This window comes from Homo sapiens, chromosome X (assembly GCF_000001405.40).
Source record: "Homo sapiens chromosome X, GRCh38.p14 Primary Assembly".
Lineage (NCBI taxonomy): Eukaryota > Metazoa > Chordata > Mammalia > Primates > Hominidae > Homo > Homo sapiens.
The window spans coordinates 8,636,357-8,652,343 of record NC_000023.11 but is presented as its reverse complement, the minus strand read 5'-3'; the positions used below and the strand labels follow the sequence as shown (position 1 = coordinate 8,652,343).

Genomic DNA, 15,987 nt, shown 5'->3' with positions numbered 1-15,987 from the left:
TATTTTGCTATTTCTTATGAATATGTGTATCATGTTGAATCATTCCTAAAAACAAAAATCAGAAACTAAATGTACATGGGAGGCCAGGTGCAGTGGCTCACACCTGTAATCTCAGCGCTTTGGGAGCCAGAGGTGGGAGGATCGCCTGAAGCCAGGTGTTAGTGACCAACCTGGGCAACATAGCAAGACCCTACCTCTACAAAAATCTTTCAAAAATTAGTGAGGAAAAAAAATTAGCCAGGCATGGTGGTGCATGCTTGTAGTCCCAGCTACTCGGGAGGCTGAGGTGGAGGATTGCTTGAGCCCAGGAGATGTAGGTGTCACTGAGCTGTGATTGTACCACTACACTGTAGCCTGGGTGACACCGTGAGGCTCTGTCAAAAAACAGAAACAAAACCAAACAAAAAACCAAGTAAATAAAAAATAAATGCACATCAGGCCAGTGCCAACGACTTCCTTGTTTTCTTTACCTGCTGTCTAAAATGAATGTTCCCTGGGAGTACACCCTAGGGAGACAGGACCCCAGATGTCTTTGATCACTAATTGTGGCTGAAACTTTAGGAAAGTAAATGAAATGTCAGCTAAACTACTAGGCAGACAGGAGTTTATTCCACGTGGGTAGGAAGGCGGCAATGTGCCTAGTTTTGTACGAGCAATTTCCCACTTCAAAATGTTTTATTATTGAGTGACCTTGTGGAAGCCAGTGGAGAGATCTCAACTTGGGAAATCGTTTCTTGATTTCACATAATTTTAAATTTTAAATGAGGTCTATCTCTCAGACAAACTCCTGTTATAAATCAGGTAAGACTACGAAATTGAAGACACTTGGCTACCCATTGGTGAGAACATAGCTTTGAAAAAGGATTTCTCTTTAATTTTCCCCAAGTAGTCTTTTTTTTCCCCCATCGATGAGGTAACAGTTTTGTTACTTTGCCAATATCTAGTTAATTTTATTTAACATTTTTCTCCCCAATTCTTCAAGACCTTAACGTATTCAGTTCTCCTTTCAGTGAGTATGGGAGTATTGAACAGTTCTGGGAGGCGATTTGCATTGGTGTTAAGGACGAGGGCATGGGAAGGCCATCTGCTTTTGATCAGGGTGTGTTTTGTGGTTTGGGAGGTAAAGGGCCACAGTGGAGCCATCTCTGAGGTCCTAGCATGGGCTAGGCTGGAGCCCTGCTTTCTGTGGCTTGGCCGCCCTCAGCGGCTCCAGAGTTCCCAGGGTATTAGGGGATCATACAGGGGGCTGTGTACCCACACATGCCATTGCCTCCCAGGCATCGCTCCCGTCCGGAGACACTGTGTGCTTTCTTTCAGGTGTCAGTGCAGATCAAAGCCATCCAAAGAACATTTGCATGAGAATCTGTAGAATGATTAATTAGCAATGGGCATTAGTAATTTTTCTTTCAAGGCTTTGAAATGTCTTTCATTGATAAACTAGTTCTGTTGAGCCCCGACTCCTTTTCAAAATGTTTTTCACCCAGTACTCCCTCTGTGACTACAAATTGGATTTTGTTTCCCCCTGTCTACACCTCTCCTTTGACTTTGATTCAGCAGTGTGGTCAAAAGGACAGCCTCCTGTGGGCGATAATTCATTCTCATCAGCCCCTGTATCTTTTTTTGAAATGGAGTCTCACTCACTCTGTTGCCTGGACTGGAGTGCAGTGGCGCTATCTCAGCTCACTGCCACCACCGTCTCCCGGGCTCAAAAGATTCTCCTGCCTCAGCTTCCTGAGTAGCTGGGATTACAGACGTCCGCCACCATTCCCAGCTCATTTTTGTATTTCTAGTAGAGACGACGTTTCACCATGTTGGTCAGGCTAGTCTTGAACTCCTGACTTCAAGTGATCCGCCCACCTTGGCCTAGCCTGTTTATCTTTTTCAGATGATATTTTATAGTAGGATATCTTCAACCCTCTCTTTTTTTGCTATCCTCTTGAAACGCCTACTGTTGTTCTATTTAACCCATCTTCTAGCTCTGATTTCTGACCATGCTGTTCTCATTTACAAATACATGTGATTTGACATGTTCAGATTCTCCTCCTGATTATCCAAGAAGGCTTCAGGATCTCCTCAGAAACAGAAAATGGGAAATGCACCAGCAGATGTGTTTATCAGCACATTCCAAAGCAATGGTTTAGCAAAGCTCAGGGACACTGCAGTGTTCTGCAGTTGCCTGGAAATGCCAGGAGGGACCCAGGAGAACTGGAACCTCCAGAAAAAGTTGCAAGTCTCAAGAGGATTACACTACTTATGGGTCCCCCAGGAAACTATCATAAGCAGTAGACACAAGTAACACTGGGCAAGTCATTGTCAAATATAAAGCCTGTCACTTCTACAGGATTTAGGCATGTGAGATGCAAGCTTATGTAGTTTAACAAAAAGAAAATAGGTTAATTTTGCAAATTTTATAATTTGCATGTGAACACATTTCCTGGGTCTCTTCCAGTGCCATGGAAGGGGCTCCTACAAGTGAGGGGCCACCTTGAACTTGATTGGCTTCCTGGGAAATCCACTGCAACCCCCAGATTGGGGCTCAGCAGGCTGTTGCACCCAGAAGATGTAGCTGAGAAGTGGATGGGACTTGTTGGAGCACCATTTTATGCAGGCAAAATTTGAGATGATTGTTACCATTGTTGAGAAATTTTAAATTGGGGAACTTGGACATGTTAAGACTCAGGTTGATGCAATTTTATTGTTGTATTCGTTCACTGAATACCTATTGCTTATGCAAAGTGTTCTTGGGGATACTGATATGGACAAAGACAAAAGTCTTGTCCTCATTGATATAAGAGGATAATAAGGCGTATGGCAACAAATAAAGCAGAGGAGGAGATGGGAATGGTAATGGTAGGTCCCACCTCTGTGGACCATGTTGATAAGATGGCTCATTGGTGAATCCCTGGGGATGATGGTGGGCTGGCCATGATGAGACATATCTTCAAGTTCTAGCTTTGTCACTATCAAGATATATTGCCCTAGACATAGTCACGTATGTCAACTCCCTGGGTCATAAAATCCTCAGCAGTAAAAATGGGACTCTTCTCGCTCTTACTTGGGGTTAATAAACCCTGACATTTTGTTTTCCCTCAATGCTTCCATCCATACCTGCCTCTCACCATCAGAGATGTAGACAATAGATTTGACTTTATAATTTATGAAACATCTTGGAGGTCAGGACCGGCCCTTTTGTGAATACTCTGGGCACTAAAGGAATTTGGGTATCGTTCCTGGGGGAGCTGTAGACGAGGGTAGTGAAGCGTATGTCTAGTGGATTTTCACTTCTTAACACCTTTCTGTATTGGAACCATTTTAATGGAGGCTGATAAAGGAGATGCTGCCTGGGGAGACTGTCCGTTTATTGGTCCTTTATATCAAAGAAAAGGTGTCTAAGTGGCTATTCTCTCTTGGATTCAATTTTTCTTTACTAAACACCTAGAGTGCACCTGATGCTGGTAGTGTTCTTTAACATCCCACAGGACTAATCTTTGCATTTACTGAACAAAGACATCAACGGAATTATAGAAAGATAGAAAGTATATATGTCAAAACTGGCTATTTAATAGCATATGTGGACCTTTTGGAGATTCATGAAAGCATTGTTAAAATAATATTGCTATTTGATAATAAGTGTAATTTCTATGATATTACTTTTATGAACAATAGTCCAAATATAAAGAATTAAAAATTAACACAAACAATTTTTAACTCCTCAACTTAGATACAGCAATTTTTAAATGATTGTCATTATTTTAGACTAGATTTATGGCAAATAGTTATTTGAGTGTTTATTGCATTTTTGTGGCATTTACTTCATCCAGTTAAATTTGTTTCCTCAGTTACACAATAATTTCCATGTAATTGTTCTTTTTTTTTTTTTTTTTTGACGGAATTTTGCCTTGTCCCCCAGGCTGGAGTACAGTGGCACGATTTCAGCTGACTGCAACCTCGGCCTCCCAGGTTTAAGCAATTTTCCTGCCTCAGCCTCCCAAGTAGCTGGGATTACAAGCACCCACCACCATGCCCGGCTAATTTTTGTACTTTTAGTACAGACTGGGTTTCACCATGTTGGCCAGGCTTGTCTGGAACTCCTGACTTCAGGTGATCCACCTGCCTTGGCCTCCCAAAGTGCTGGGATTACAGGCATGAGCAACTACGCCTGGCCAATTGTTCTATTTTAATATATCATATTGGTTCACTTTGGAGGCATATAAATTGTTTTCCACTACGAAGATTAGTTCATCCTGGAAGCATTATTTTAATTGTTTTGTCTATCAATTTATAATATTTGTACAGTTTATCAATTTATAACATTTATACAGTTTATAAATTTATAACATTTATCAATTTATAACACTATGCCATTTAATAAACTCACTGGATTTCAAATGCTTTGTGGAGATGGGAAGTTCTGATGATATTATTTGTCCCTAATGAGATGCCCAAGCTGCATAGAGCATGTCAGGGTGTTGAAATGAGAAATTATTAAAAGGTATAGGTTTAAGATGCTTTTTTGGCTCAAACGATTCATTTTCTCCTCTGTCACTCACCCTAATGAAGTCCCAGGTCTTTTCTTAAGGAGATTGAACATACGAAGTGCACTTGCTTACTGCTTGTAGCTAAGAGGAAAAATGTCTCTAAAATAGTTTCTAAGCTGGCAATACACTCAACTCACTCAAAAGCTAAGAGTTCACTTTTTTTTTACATAAAGATTCCAGAATTATCATAGAAATATGCTTCAAAGCAGTTTGGATTTGTGGGAATTGTTTGAAAGCTCTCAAGTTATTTTCAAGTGTTAGTGCGACTTGCTATATATTTTGCTTGCTCTTTTCTATCATCCTTTGAATTGCGGTGACAGTGAATTGCTTCTCTCCTAGCCTACGTGAGTTAGCCCTTTCTTAGAATTTCCATCTGGACTGTGTGATTGGGAAATCAATATTGTGGAGATGAGGGTTCTGAGTCATAACCAGAAAGACTTGTTCTGAATGCCTTTCCCTATGGTGGTGATGGTTTCGTGCTTATTTATTTATAAGCATGTACCCTATATCACTGGTTCTCAACCCGGGGGCAGTTCTTGTCCCTGGGGGGCATTTGGCAATGTTTTGAGACATTTCGGGCTTTCACACCTGAGGATGGAAGTGCTACTAGCATCGAAGTTGCTAATATCCTCCAATGCACAGAACTGCCCCCCACAACAAAGGCTTATGGATAAGCCCTGCATGTCAGTAGCGTGGAGGCTGAGACACCCTGCCTATACAAGATGAATAGTACATTTCTGCCTTTGATGGTAGAACAAAGCGTTCTATGCTCACGACAAATTGTACCCTAGACAAGGATCGGACCCTCCACCTCGATCTCATTGGTAGCATGCAAGTGCCCTGTGAAATCTTCTTTTTTTTTTTTTTTTTTTTGAGACAGGTTCGCACTCTGTAGCCCAGGGTGGAGTGCAGTGGTGCAATGTCGACTCACTATAACCTCCACCTCCTGGGTTCAAGTAATCCTCCTGCCTTAGCCTCCCAAGTAGCTGGGATTACAGGCGTGCACCACCACGCCAAGCTAATTTTTGTATTTTTAGTAGAGGTAGGGTTTCATGATGTTGGCCAAGCTCGTCTTGAACTCCTGACCTCAAAGCAATCCACCCGCTGCAGCCTCCCAAAGTGCTGGGGTTACAGATGTGAGCCACCACGCCGGTCCAGAAATCTTCTTTTGAAACAGGATTTTATTCTCAAGCCTTCCCCCTTTTGGCAGGGAAGGGGATTAGCCTTTACTTATAATTGTAATCTACAAAATACATGAAGCTTTCTATTGCAGCCATGAAAAGATGGAAAATGAGTGTTAGCGTTCACATTTATTTTCATGCTGAGAAATACAGTATCACTTCAATGTAGCAATTCTCAAAGGACTTTAAAGGCCTAGCTATGGTTTCCAAAATCACTAGGCCCACAAAATCCTACTTTATCTGCCTACTACAGGTGGCGGCTACTACAGGTGATGGCATGCCTATTACAGGTGATGGCACGCACCGATAGTCCCAGCTACTCAGGAAGCTGAGATGGGAGAATCGCTTGAGCCTGGCGGGTCAAGGCTGCAGTGAGCTGAGGTCGCGCCACTGAACTCCAGCCTGGGTGACAGGAGTAAAACCATGTCTCAAAAAAAGATGTCTTCCTTGACTGTCCTATGTTTATTGCCTTGTTGCTAGACTCACCATCTTTCCTTTCGCTCTTTATTATTAACCTAAAAGAATAAAATTGTCCCAGCACGGTGGCTCACGCCTGTAATCCCAGCACTTTGGGAGGCTGAGGGGGGAGGGGGTGGATCACCTGAGGTCAGGAGTTCAAGACCAGCCTGGCCAACATTGTGAAACCCCATCTCTACAAAAATACAAAAATTACCCAGACACAGCCAGGAGTGGTGGCTCACGCCTGTAATCCCAGCACTTTGGGAGGCCGAGGCGGGCGGATCACGAGGTCAGGAGATCGAGACCACGTTGAAACCCTGTCTCTACTAAAAACACAAAAAAATTAGCTGGGCGCGGTGGCAGGCGCCTTAGTTTGACAATATGAATCTATTCATATTTTCCTATAGTCCCAGTTCCTGAGAAGGCTGAGGTGGGAGAATCGCTTGAGCCTGGGAAGTTGAGGCTGCAGTGAACCAAGATTGCACCACTGAACTCCAGCATGGGCAACAGGAGTGAAACCCTGTCTCAAAACAAAACTAAACTAAACTGAAACTAAAAATAAAAATAAATGGAAACAACAGCAACAACAACAAAGCTTAAAGAGAACACATTCAGAAGAAGAGTGGAGAAATATGAAGAGGGGAAGTAATAGTAAAAACAAAAGTCCAGACAGGTAAATCTACTGCTATGTTAGGGTAGGATATTTGCTGAAATCAGGTTGACTGAAAGGTGTGTGTGTTTTGAGCCTGGGGTCTGAGGGGCCACACGAGAAGTATTTCTTCAGAAAGGTGAAGTTGAGAATCTTTGTCAATTCACATTCTGCCGACACCTGCAGAAAGCTCTTTGGTTCCTCTTTCTGCTGAGACATGGCCATTTCCCCTCCTGCTGGACAACAGGATGCCTGGACTCCCTTCGTCGATGTTGCACTCAGCTCCTAGCTTCACCTCTGCCTCAGTGCTTCTCCCTGGAGGAACTTTGAGCTGCCTATTGAGGGGCATGTGTTTGCAGCTGAGTTCTTTTACAGTGAAAGCATTGCATTTTGAAATTACACATGGGAAACCCATCTAATATAATGTTAAGGTTTGTAAACCAATAAGTATTGGAGACAGGTCTCAATCAATGTAGAGGTTTATTCTGCCAAAGTTAAGGACCGTGGCCTATGATAGGGCCTCAGAAGGTCCTGAGAACATGTGCCCAAGGTAGCTGGGTTGCAGCTTCTCAGTACATTTTAGGGAAAAAGAAGTTACAAGCAAAGATGTAAATGAATACATGGAAGATATACATTGGTTCAGCCTGAAAGGGCAGGACATTTCAAAGCAGAGGGCTTCCAGGTCATAGGTGGGTTCAAAGATTTCCTGATTGGCGATTGGTTGAAAGAGTTAAGCTCTGCCTGAAATGTTGAAGTCAGCAGAAAGAAATGCTTGAGTTAAGATAAGGACAGTGGGGTTGAAGAAGCCAAGGTTCTTGTCATGTAGGTGAAGCCTCCAGGTAGCAGGCTTCAGAGAGAATAGATGGTAAATACCTCTTATTGGACCTTAAAAGGTGTCAGATTCTCTGGAAAAGAACTAATAAGGGAAGGCGATTCTCTACAGAATGCAAATTTTCCCCACAAGAGATGGCTTTGCAAGGCTATCTCAGAATATGTCAAAGAAATATATTTTGAGGTAAAATACTTTTTTTTTTTTCAGGGCCTGCTATCTGTCATGTGATGCTATACTACGGTCAGGTTGGAGTTGGGTATCTTATTGCTACAAAGAGTCTGTTTTGTCAGTCTTAAGATCCCTATGCTAATGTGAATGCTGGTCAGTTGTGCCTAAACTCCAAAGGAAGGAGGCATGTCTGTCCCTTCTTTCCTGTCATGGCTTGAACTAATTTTTCAGGTTTATTTGGGACCCCTTGGCTAAGATGGGGTCCATTGAGTGGAGGCTTAGAACTTTATTACTTTATTTTTACTTTACAGGCTGAATGGTCCTCTGCATAACGGTATTTTCGTCAAGCTAAATCTTAAACACAAGTATGTCGACGAAAAGAGTCAAACTCTGTAGAATATTTGAAGAGATTTATTCTGAGTCAAATATGAGTGACCATGGCCCATGACGCAGCCCTCAGAAGGTCCTTAGAATATGTGTCCAAGGTGGTCGGGGCACAGCTTGGTTTTATACATTTTAGGGAGGCATGAGATATCAATCAAATACATTTAAGAAAGACATTGGTTTGGTTCAGAAAGGCGGAACAACTCAAAGTGGAGGCGGGGTTGGGGGGGTGGCACTTCTAGGTTATAGGTAAATTTAAACATTTTCTGATGGACAGTTGGCTGAGTTTTTGTCTAAAGACCTGGGATCAATGGAAAGGAAATGTTCAGGTTAAGATAAAAGATTGAGGAGACCAAAGTTCTTTTGAAGTCTCACAGTGGCTGCTGTTAGAAACAATAGATGACAAATGTTTCCTATTCAGACCCTTTAAAAGGTGGTAGACTGGAAGGAAAAGGTCTAGCTATGTTAATAGGGATTCTTTACAGATGTGCATTTTTCCTCACAAAGGATGGCTTGCAGGACCATTTCAAAATGTAACAAAAAACATATTTTGGGGGTAAAATATTTTGATTTTCTTCCTTGTCTCGTAATGTTATGCCAGAGTCACGTTGCAAAATAAGTCATGATATATAGAGTTAAATAAAGCCCATCTAATGAGAACTTATGGTTTGTAGGGCATGACTCCCTAGACCCCTTAGATAGGAATTTGGACAACATGAAAGAATCAGAGCTTAGTCCTCAAGTAGAATGGAACAACAGCATAACACAAAATGAAAGGGCCCAACTTATTAATGCAACACATGATTTATACTGAAAATTTTAGTCACCAGATCTTTAAATGATACATTATTTTGTTAAATTGACATTTAAAAAGAGTAGATGATTCTGAGTTGCAAACACTTCTATTTTATTCAATAAAGACCTTCTATATGCATTATTAGGAGTTCACTGAGTGCCAATTCTTTCATTGATATGTCTCTAAGTTTTTAATTTTTCAAGTGGTCATTTTCCTCTAGGTCATCAACACCTAGAAAAAAATGTGTTTCAATTGACTCATAAACCTTAAGTTAATGTAATTGCTGTCTAACAGTTTCTAGAATTATTGCTTTTGAATGGTTATGTTGCATGAAAAATTATTATTCAAAAACTAACACGAAAGAGGAGGCATTGAAAGTTCTTTATAAAGTTTTCCATTTTTATGTGTTGATGATCTATTCTCAGACTTCATGTAATTTGAAGTAATTGCTGCTATATGGCTCATGACTCTCAAATTCAGCCTGCATCAAGATCACCTGGGGTGCCCATGGATGCATTTTTCTGGCTGCAACTTCAAACCTACTCAATCCTAATCTTGGTGGAGTGTGGGAGAGGGGAGGACCAAACCCACACTTTAAGAGATACCGATCCATGTGCTTAGTCCATTGAATGGAATAGACATGTTTGACAATATGAATCTATTCAAAATGGGATAGTTGAAGATCACTGAATTTTTAACTTACAATCTATTTGACAGGGAAAGTCAGTACATTTTTAATTATTGTTCAATATAAATTACATATATATACTGGTGAATTTAGAAACTTTTTTTTTTTGCCTAATAACATTCTTGAAATATAATTCACATGCTGTACAATTTACTTGTTTAAATAGTTCATTGGTTTTTCATGTATTTATAGTCTTGCAATTATCAGCAGAATTATAGAATATTTTTATCACTACCCCCAAAAAAATCCCATAGCCATTGGCAGTCGCTTCCCTTTCCCTCCAATTCCTTCAGTCCTACATATCCACTAATCTATTTTCTTTCCCTACATAGATTGACTCATTCTAGACATTTCATATAAATGATGGAATCATACAGCATGTAATCTTTTTATCTGGCTTTTTATTTTACTTAGCATAATATTATAAAGGCCCATTGATGCTGTAGCATGCTTTAGTATTCCATTTCTTTTCATTGCTAAACAATATTTCCATGTATTCTTTTTTCATTTTATTTATTCATTCATTCGTCAGTAATTATATATGAAATTTGCTTCCACTTTTTGGCTATTATGAATAATGCTGTAAGGAGCATTTGTGTACAAGTCTTAATGGTATGGATAGAATTATAAATATGTTGTATTTATTTTATTCTGAGATTTTATACATAAAACTTTACTAATTTACTCTAGAATTACATTACAATATTAAAATAAACTCTGTGTCTCTTCCTTTGCCCCTATTGCAAACCCCTGACCTAATAAAATAAAATCCCAGACAACAGGGGGAAAAAAACCCGGCAGAATGGATGCCTATCTAGAACTCTAAGCATTAATCTTAAATCAGTTTTCGGGGAATTTTGATGAATACTTTTTAGAAAAGATGAGCAGACTACCTAAACACCACACAATTTTAAATCATTACCTTGGAATGACTTTACTTTCATGTGCCAAACTGACTATGGTGTGTATTTAATATTTGACATAATATTCCCATGCGCTTTAAGAAATCCATGAAGACTTCCAATAAGATAGCCTTTGTATTTGTGTGTGTATGCACACCAGTGTAATTTGCATTTCCATCTCCTGATGTGCAGGTCTTGAATTTTTGTGTGTGTGATAGTGTAATGGAGCAATGGTGACAATTGCTAAAGAAGCTGATTCTCCAGTGGATACTGTTTTTCTTTTTAAAATATTGATGGAATAATATCATCCACTTTGCTGAAGAAAAAAGGGATCACAGAAATAAATAATGGTTTAATGAGAAGATGAATGTGAGGAATGCTGTTTTATATCATGTGATACCTCCTTTTCCCTCTTTCTGCACATCTGATTATTCCCTCCTTTACCAAGGGTGAGCTAGATAGTTGGCAATTTATGCTTTAGTTTCTTTGTGCTGTGTGTATGTGCATGCATGTGTGTGTCTGTCTGCATCTGATGATTTTTACAATGATTCTTCAGATTCATGAAGTATGTTATTTTTTATTGCTTTCGAATCCCCTGTGATATTCCTTACTCTTCCGGATACTCCATACATCTGACTGACCTACTTATTTCTCATTTATCATTTCCTACTAATTTTCTCATCATTTTAAAAGGCTTATTCTTCTTGCATATAGGCTGACATGAGGAAGTAAGTATCTATTCTTAGAGAATGACACAGGGAACGAAGTATAATTCTGTTTTCTGAGAAAACATTGATATGTGGGTTTTAATTATATTAGAAAACCAACTCTACTTTTGAACTATTGACTTTGGTCATATTCAGTGGTTTGAGTTTTTAGGGAACAATCCCTACCCACTGGTTTCTTTCCAGAGTAGAAATTGTATCTATGACTTGTAGAAATAATTAATATTAATCATGTCTTGTAAAGCTTTTCTACATAAAGGCTTTCTTTAAATAGAATGAGCTCTTTATTTGCCTTGAGTAGCAATGTCTCCCAATTATAGCAACAGGGTTTCTGTATTGAGAAGAATTAATTTTAAAATTCTATGATTATATTACAAGAGAAAAAAAAAACAAGAAATGCGACCTTTCCAACAGTTTTTTTTTTTTTTTTGTACAGGTTCATTTTCTTTATAAAAAGTCTGAGCAAGAAAGGGTCTTGCTTTGTTTTTTCTCTTTAGAGCAACAAGTGAGGCCTCAGCCTATAAGAAAGGAAAAGCTCCCTGTCTCACGGCTCAATCGAATTGATTCGGTGGGGCCATCAGTGTGGTAGGCATTGGATTTACATTGGCCTCATAGTCTGTCAAGCCGCTGAAGGGAATTTGCTTGCCACTGTGAAGGTGGTTTTCTGAAACTGTCTCTCCTCTTCCCGCTTCCCTTCCTCTCCCTCCCCCTTGTTAGGAAGATCATGGCGTGAAGACAAACAGATGCCTGCTGCCAAAATGTGCTACTTAACCTGACCCTCAACTAGGCCCACAAAGGAGGGCTTTGAGATCCCCAGAGAGGCAGCCCCTGCATTTCATCATGCCGTGAAATTTGGAGTGAAAGCCCCATGCCTCTGGCTGCTTAGCCATGAGGGATATGGTGATGATGGTGCCCGGAGGGGACTGGGAAGCCAGCGAGAAAAAACACAAAGTAACAGCAGGGACAAAGACGGCCTCCCCCTACTGCCCTGCTTTGATTGTTAGGTGGTCTATAAACTCCGAGAAATAGAGGGCCTAGGGCACAAGAGCATTTTGTTGTCACTGGTTCATTTAGTCCTCTGGGTGGGGATGCGGTGGAGGCAGTGATCAGGAGTCTTTTCTGAGCTAGAGGGGTCACTGATTTTGCTCATTAACAAAGAGCAACAGCAAGTACATTTCCCAAAGAAAGAGAGAGAAGCTTATCACTTCATGGGAAGGACTTGCCTTATATCTGACAGATGTGTAACCTCCAAAAATATTTAGTATCCTCTATTTCCAACAGAAGATGCCATTCTGATATTTTTGCCTTGTATTCTCTTTGTAATATATTCTTTGCATGTTAGTCTATCACATTTCCTCTTTAAAATGAGTAAGTTGGATATGAGTTTCTTGTTTTTCTATAAACATGAATACATTTCTATTATAGTAAAGAAGCAGAAGAGAAGCATTCTGTAAATTATAAACGTACATTCAGTGACATTAGAAATAAAGCAAATCTGTTTCCTCTTGGTGAAGTGAGGGTACATTATCAGCAGCATCTTGGTGAAACAGTTTTCTGAGGATACAGGGTATTTAAGTTACTCTTATGAATTGATATATGTATAACAATCTGAATGAGTTGGAAAGAAACTAATAAAACATGGAAAATAATTACTCTTCCTTCTGTGTGTTCTTGTCCAGTTAAACTGTTACATGTAGTGGCATTAAATTACATTAAGCTGCCTATTTAAATTTGTGGGATTTGTACACTTTATTTTAAATCTCCAAAATGATTTCATGTGTGAGTGAGATTCTTTTTAAGCTCCCCCCAAGTGGAAGAAAGCAGGCATGAATGGCATCATCTATATTGTAAATATCACATGTCTGTTATAAAAATGATGTTCTTATATAAGTTATTTTCAGGTGCATTAGAATTTCACTTAGGGAATCTTATCATTTGATAAAGCAGACCTTCGAGTGCTGTCTTTTTGAAGTAATTAGATTACTCGTTTTACCAGTGGTATGCATGCTTTGGGGAAAGGAAAGCTAGGTCCTTTCTCTCTGATAAAGGAAACGTACATGTCTTCAATAAGAATCATTTTCTTTTCTTTGTTCTACTGGTCTACATAAAGCCTGCTATACTTCTAAAAACATATCCAGCAGTCGCTCTAAGCATTGCTAAGATCCAAGCTCCCACTTGTCCCAAAGCTAAAGTTGACTCTAAATAGCCTGTGAATTATAGATCATTTGTCTTCATCTCAGAACACAGCAGAAACCTCTGGAGTGCCTCTATGTTGCTAAAATTTACAGTTTTATTTTCATGCTTAAAAAGATCAAATCTATCTGGAACATACTCTTCTCTCATCCCACCTGCTTTTGCCTGGTTAATCCTACTCATTATTTTGTTTTCTGCCTAGACATATCCCTTTGCCCAGGGAATTTTGCATAGTTGTCACTTGGGTTAGGTTCTCCCCATCTGTACTTCTGTACGCCTTTGTCTCACGGCTTTGATCCCACTGTATTGTAATGGCTTAATTTTGTTCTCCATCATATTCTAAGGTCAAAGCATGCAGACTGTGTGTTTGATGCATCCACGTGCTCCTAATATCTCTTGGATTGCCCAATGCATAGATGTGAATCAATAAATACATACGCAGAGAAGGTAGAGAGGGAGGTTACAAAGTAAAGGGAGACTCTTGTAAGATTAGAAATGATATTGGTGACACAATAGATAATCAGAAAAGTTATGGCTACATTCTTTGCATTTTTGATGTCACAAGGGTTAAAAAATTTCAGTTCACATGTATCATCTTAGTTGCTTTCATCAGGTAGTGTCAGTGAAGAAAACAAACTACTCTAGGTACATAAACTAGAAGGAACTTAATACAAGGGATTAGATGCTTCTAAAATGATTAGAGGTGTTGAAGGAATGGACTCTAGGCTCAGCCTCCAGAAGTGACTCTAAAACAGAGAGCTGACTCTCCTGCTTGCTCTGAGCCCTCTCTGGAGTAACAATGTGAGAGTCAAGGGCCATCCCCTGATGAAGCCTCTACAGATACCCAGGAAGCTGGAGAATGAAGACTTGAAGACTGCAGCAGAAAACCCTCACATTTTCACAAGGGTTCTAAACCACAGAAATAGTGAACAAGGCACAAGCAAGAAAATATCTTCTGTTTTCTTTTTGCCTTCAAATGCTGCGTAAATATATTGATGAGCATAACCTAATTGAATTCAGAATTTCAGTGGCATGATCATCTGGGAAATGCAGCTTCTACTTCCTCTTCCACTGGAAGGTGGGTGTGATGGATGTTGAATGCATACTTTTGTACTTTCCTTTTAACTTTTTCAGTTTCTTCTCTCCAATATGGTAGCTACCAGCCATATAGCTTTATAGATTTAAATTTATTAAAATTGAATATTTCATCTTTCAGCCTCATTGGCCACATTTCAAGTGCTCAGTAGCCCCATGTGGCTGCTGGCTGCCATATTGGATGGTGTACATGTAGAACAATTCCATTCTTGCATTATGTTGGACACCACTGGTCTAGGTAATGTGAGCTACTCCTTTTTTCTTTTTTCTGCATTTTTTTGGTTCAGCAGAGCAGCTGATGAATGAATGGGTAAAGGGGTAATGAAGGTAAGCTTAGAGTTAATCAAAACAGTGTTCAGTTAGCTAAGTTGTAAAATGCAAAACAACAAGAGGAAGAGACATCTTTGGTTGAGTCCTTAAATGTGTATTTCAGTCAAGGGGATAACAAGGGAAAACAAGCACAAGAAACTGACATTTGCATTGCCCACAGTATGAAGGAGGCTCTTCTAAACCCTGTGCAAAATCTCTTGAAAGACTGCAGTAGTTAAACAAACCTTCATGATCCAAACTTACTGAGTTAGTGCTTGCTGCTCGTTTTGGTTGAGTTCACAAATAGCTTTCATTGTTACTGTATTATGATGGAATTCCATTGGCCACAAGAACTTCAACATCACTCTTTTTGTGGTGAAGAGAGAATAAAATTAAATATTCAAGTGAGGTTGTACAAATTTCAAGTTTGGGTTAAAGGCCAAACAGGTTCTATTATAAACGGAGTTTTCCATCCATAACTAACATACATTCTCCACCATGGTGTTTCCTTTTAAGCATCTGAAAAGTTATGAATATGATGTCTAACTCATTAATCTGGAGCAGACCTACCACATAATGCCAAATTGAATGAGTTTGCTCAGGGATGCACTAATGTCTTAGAGGAGCTTTCATGTTGACAAAGCTGGGGTGATTTGATCTGGCAAGGGAGACAGGAAACATGAAAGTCCCCATGAGATTTGGCTCCCTGGTCTTTTCAAGAGCACACCATGCCTTCCTTGAGTTTGACATATCAGACAACCAAGCCACACAGATAGATATTAAGCTGTCAGTGTTACAAGCTCCTTCTATCAGAAGAGGATTAGTGTTGACACTGTTGCTGATTGGTCTCACTGCACAGACATGCTTCATTTTAGGTTCTCTCTTAGAACCTACTATAATCACTCACCTCTCAGACAAAGAGATGCATTTATTGGAAACAATAAGCCAACAGCATATAGTTACCCATGGCATTCTTATATATTACTGATATAAACAATCTTGTTAAGCAAGAAGCAGATATTATAAATAAGACAGGCTTATAAGTAGCTCTGTGAGATTTAACACAGG

At 39.7% G+C, this 15,987-nt stretch overlaps 1 protein-coding gene across 2 annotated transcripts in view, besides 2 other annotated features; it reads left to right on the top strand.

The window, feature by feature from the left end:
- The window catches only part of ANOS1 (anosmin 1), a 203,264-nt gene that overhangs the window by 79,794 nt on the left and 107,483 nt on the right, over nt 1-15,987 (top strand). The window lies entirely within an intron of this gene.
- Nucleotides 1,210-1,734: an enhancer, noted in NCBI's record as "NANOG-H3K27ac-H3K4me1 hESC enhancer chrX:8618651-8619175 (GRCh37/hg19 assembly coordinates)". NCBI's record gives its function as "activates a minimal SCP1, AML or CMV promoter by ChIP-STARR-seq in naive H9 embryonic stem cells {active_cell/tissue: H9 hESC(naive)}" and the evidence as "EXISTENCE:reporter gene assay evidence [ECO:0000049][PMID:30033119]".
- Nucleotides 8,213-9,024: an enhancer, noted in NCBI's record as "OCT4-NANOG hESC enhancer chrX:8611361-8612172 (GRCh37/hg19 assembly coordinates)". NCBI's record gives its function as "activates a minimal SCP1, AML or CMV promoter by ChIP-STARR-seq in naive H9 embryonic stem cells {active_cell/tissue: H9 hESC(naive)}" and the evidence as "EXISTENCE:reporter gene assay evidence [ECO:0000049][PMID:30033119]".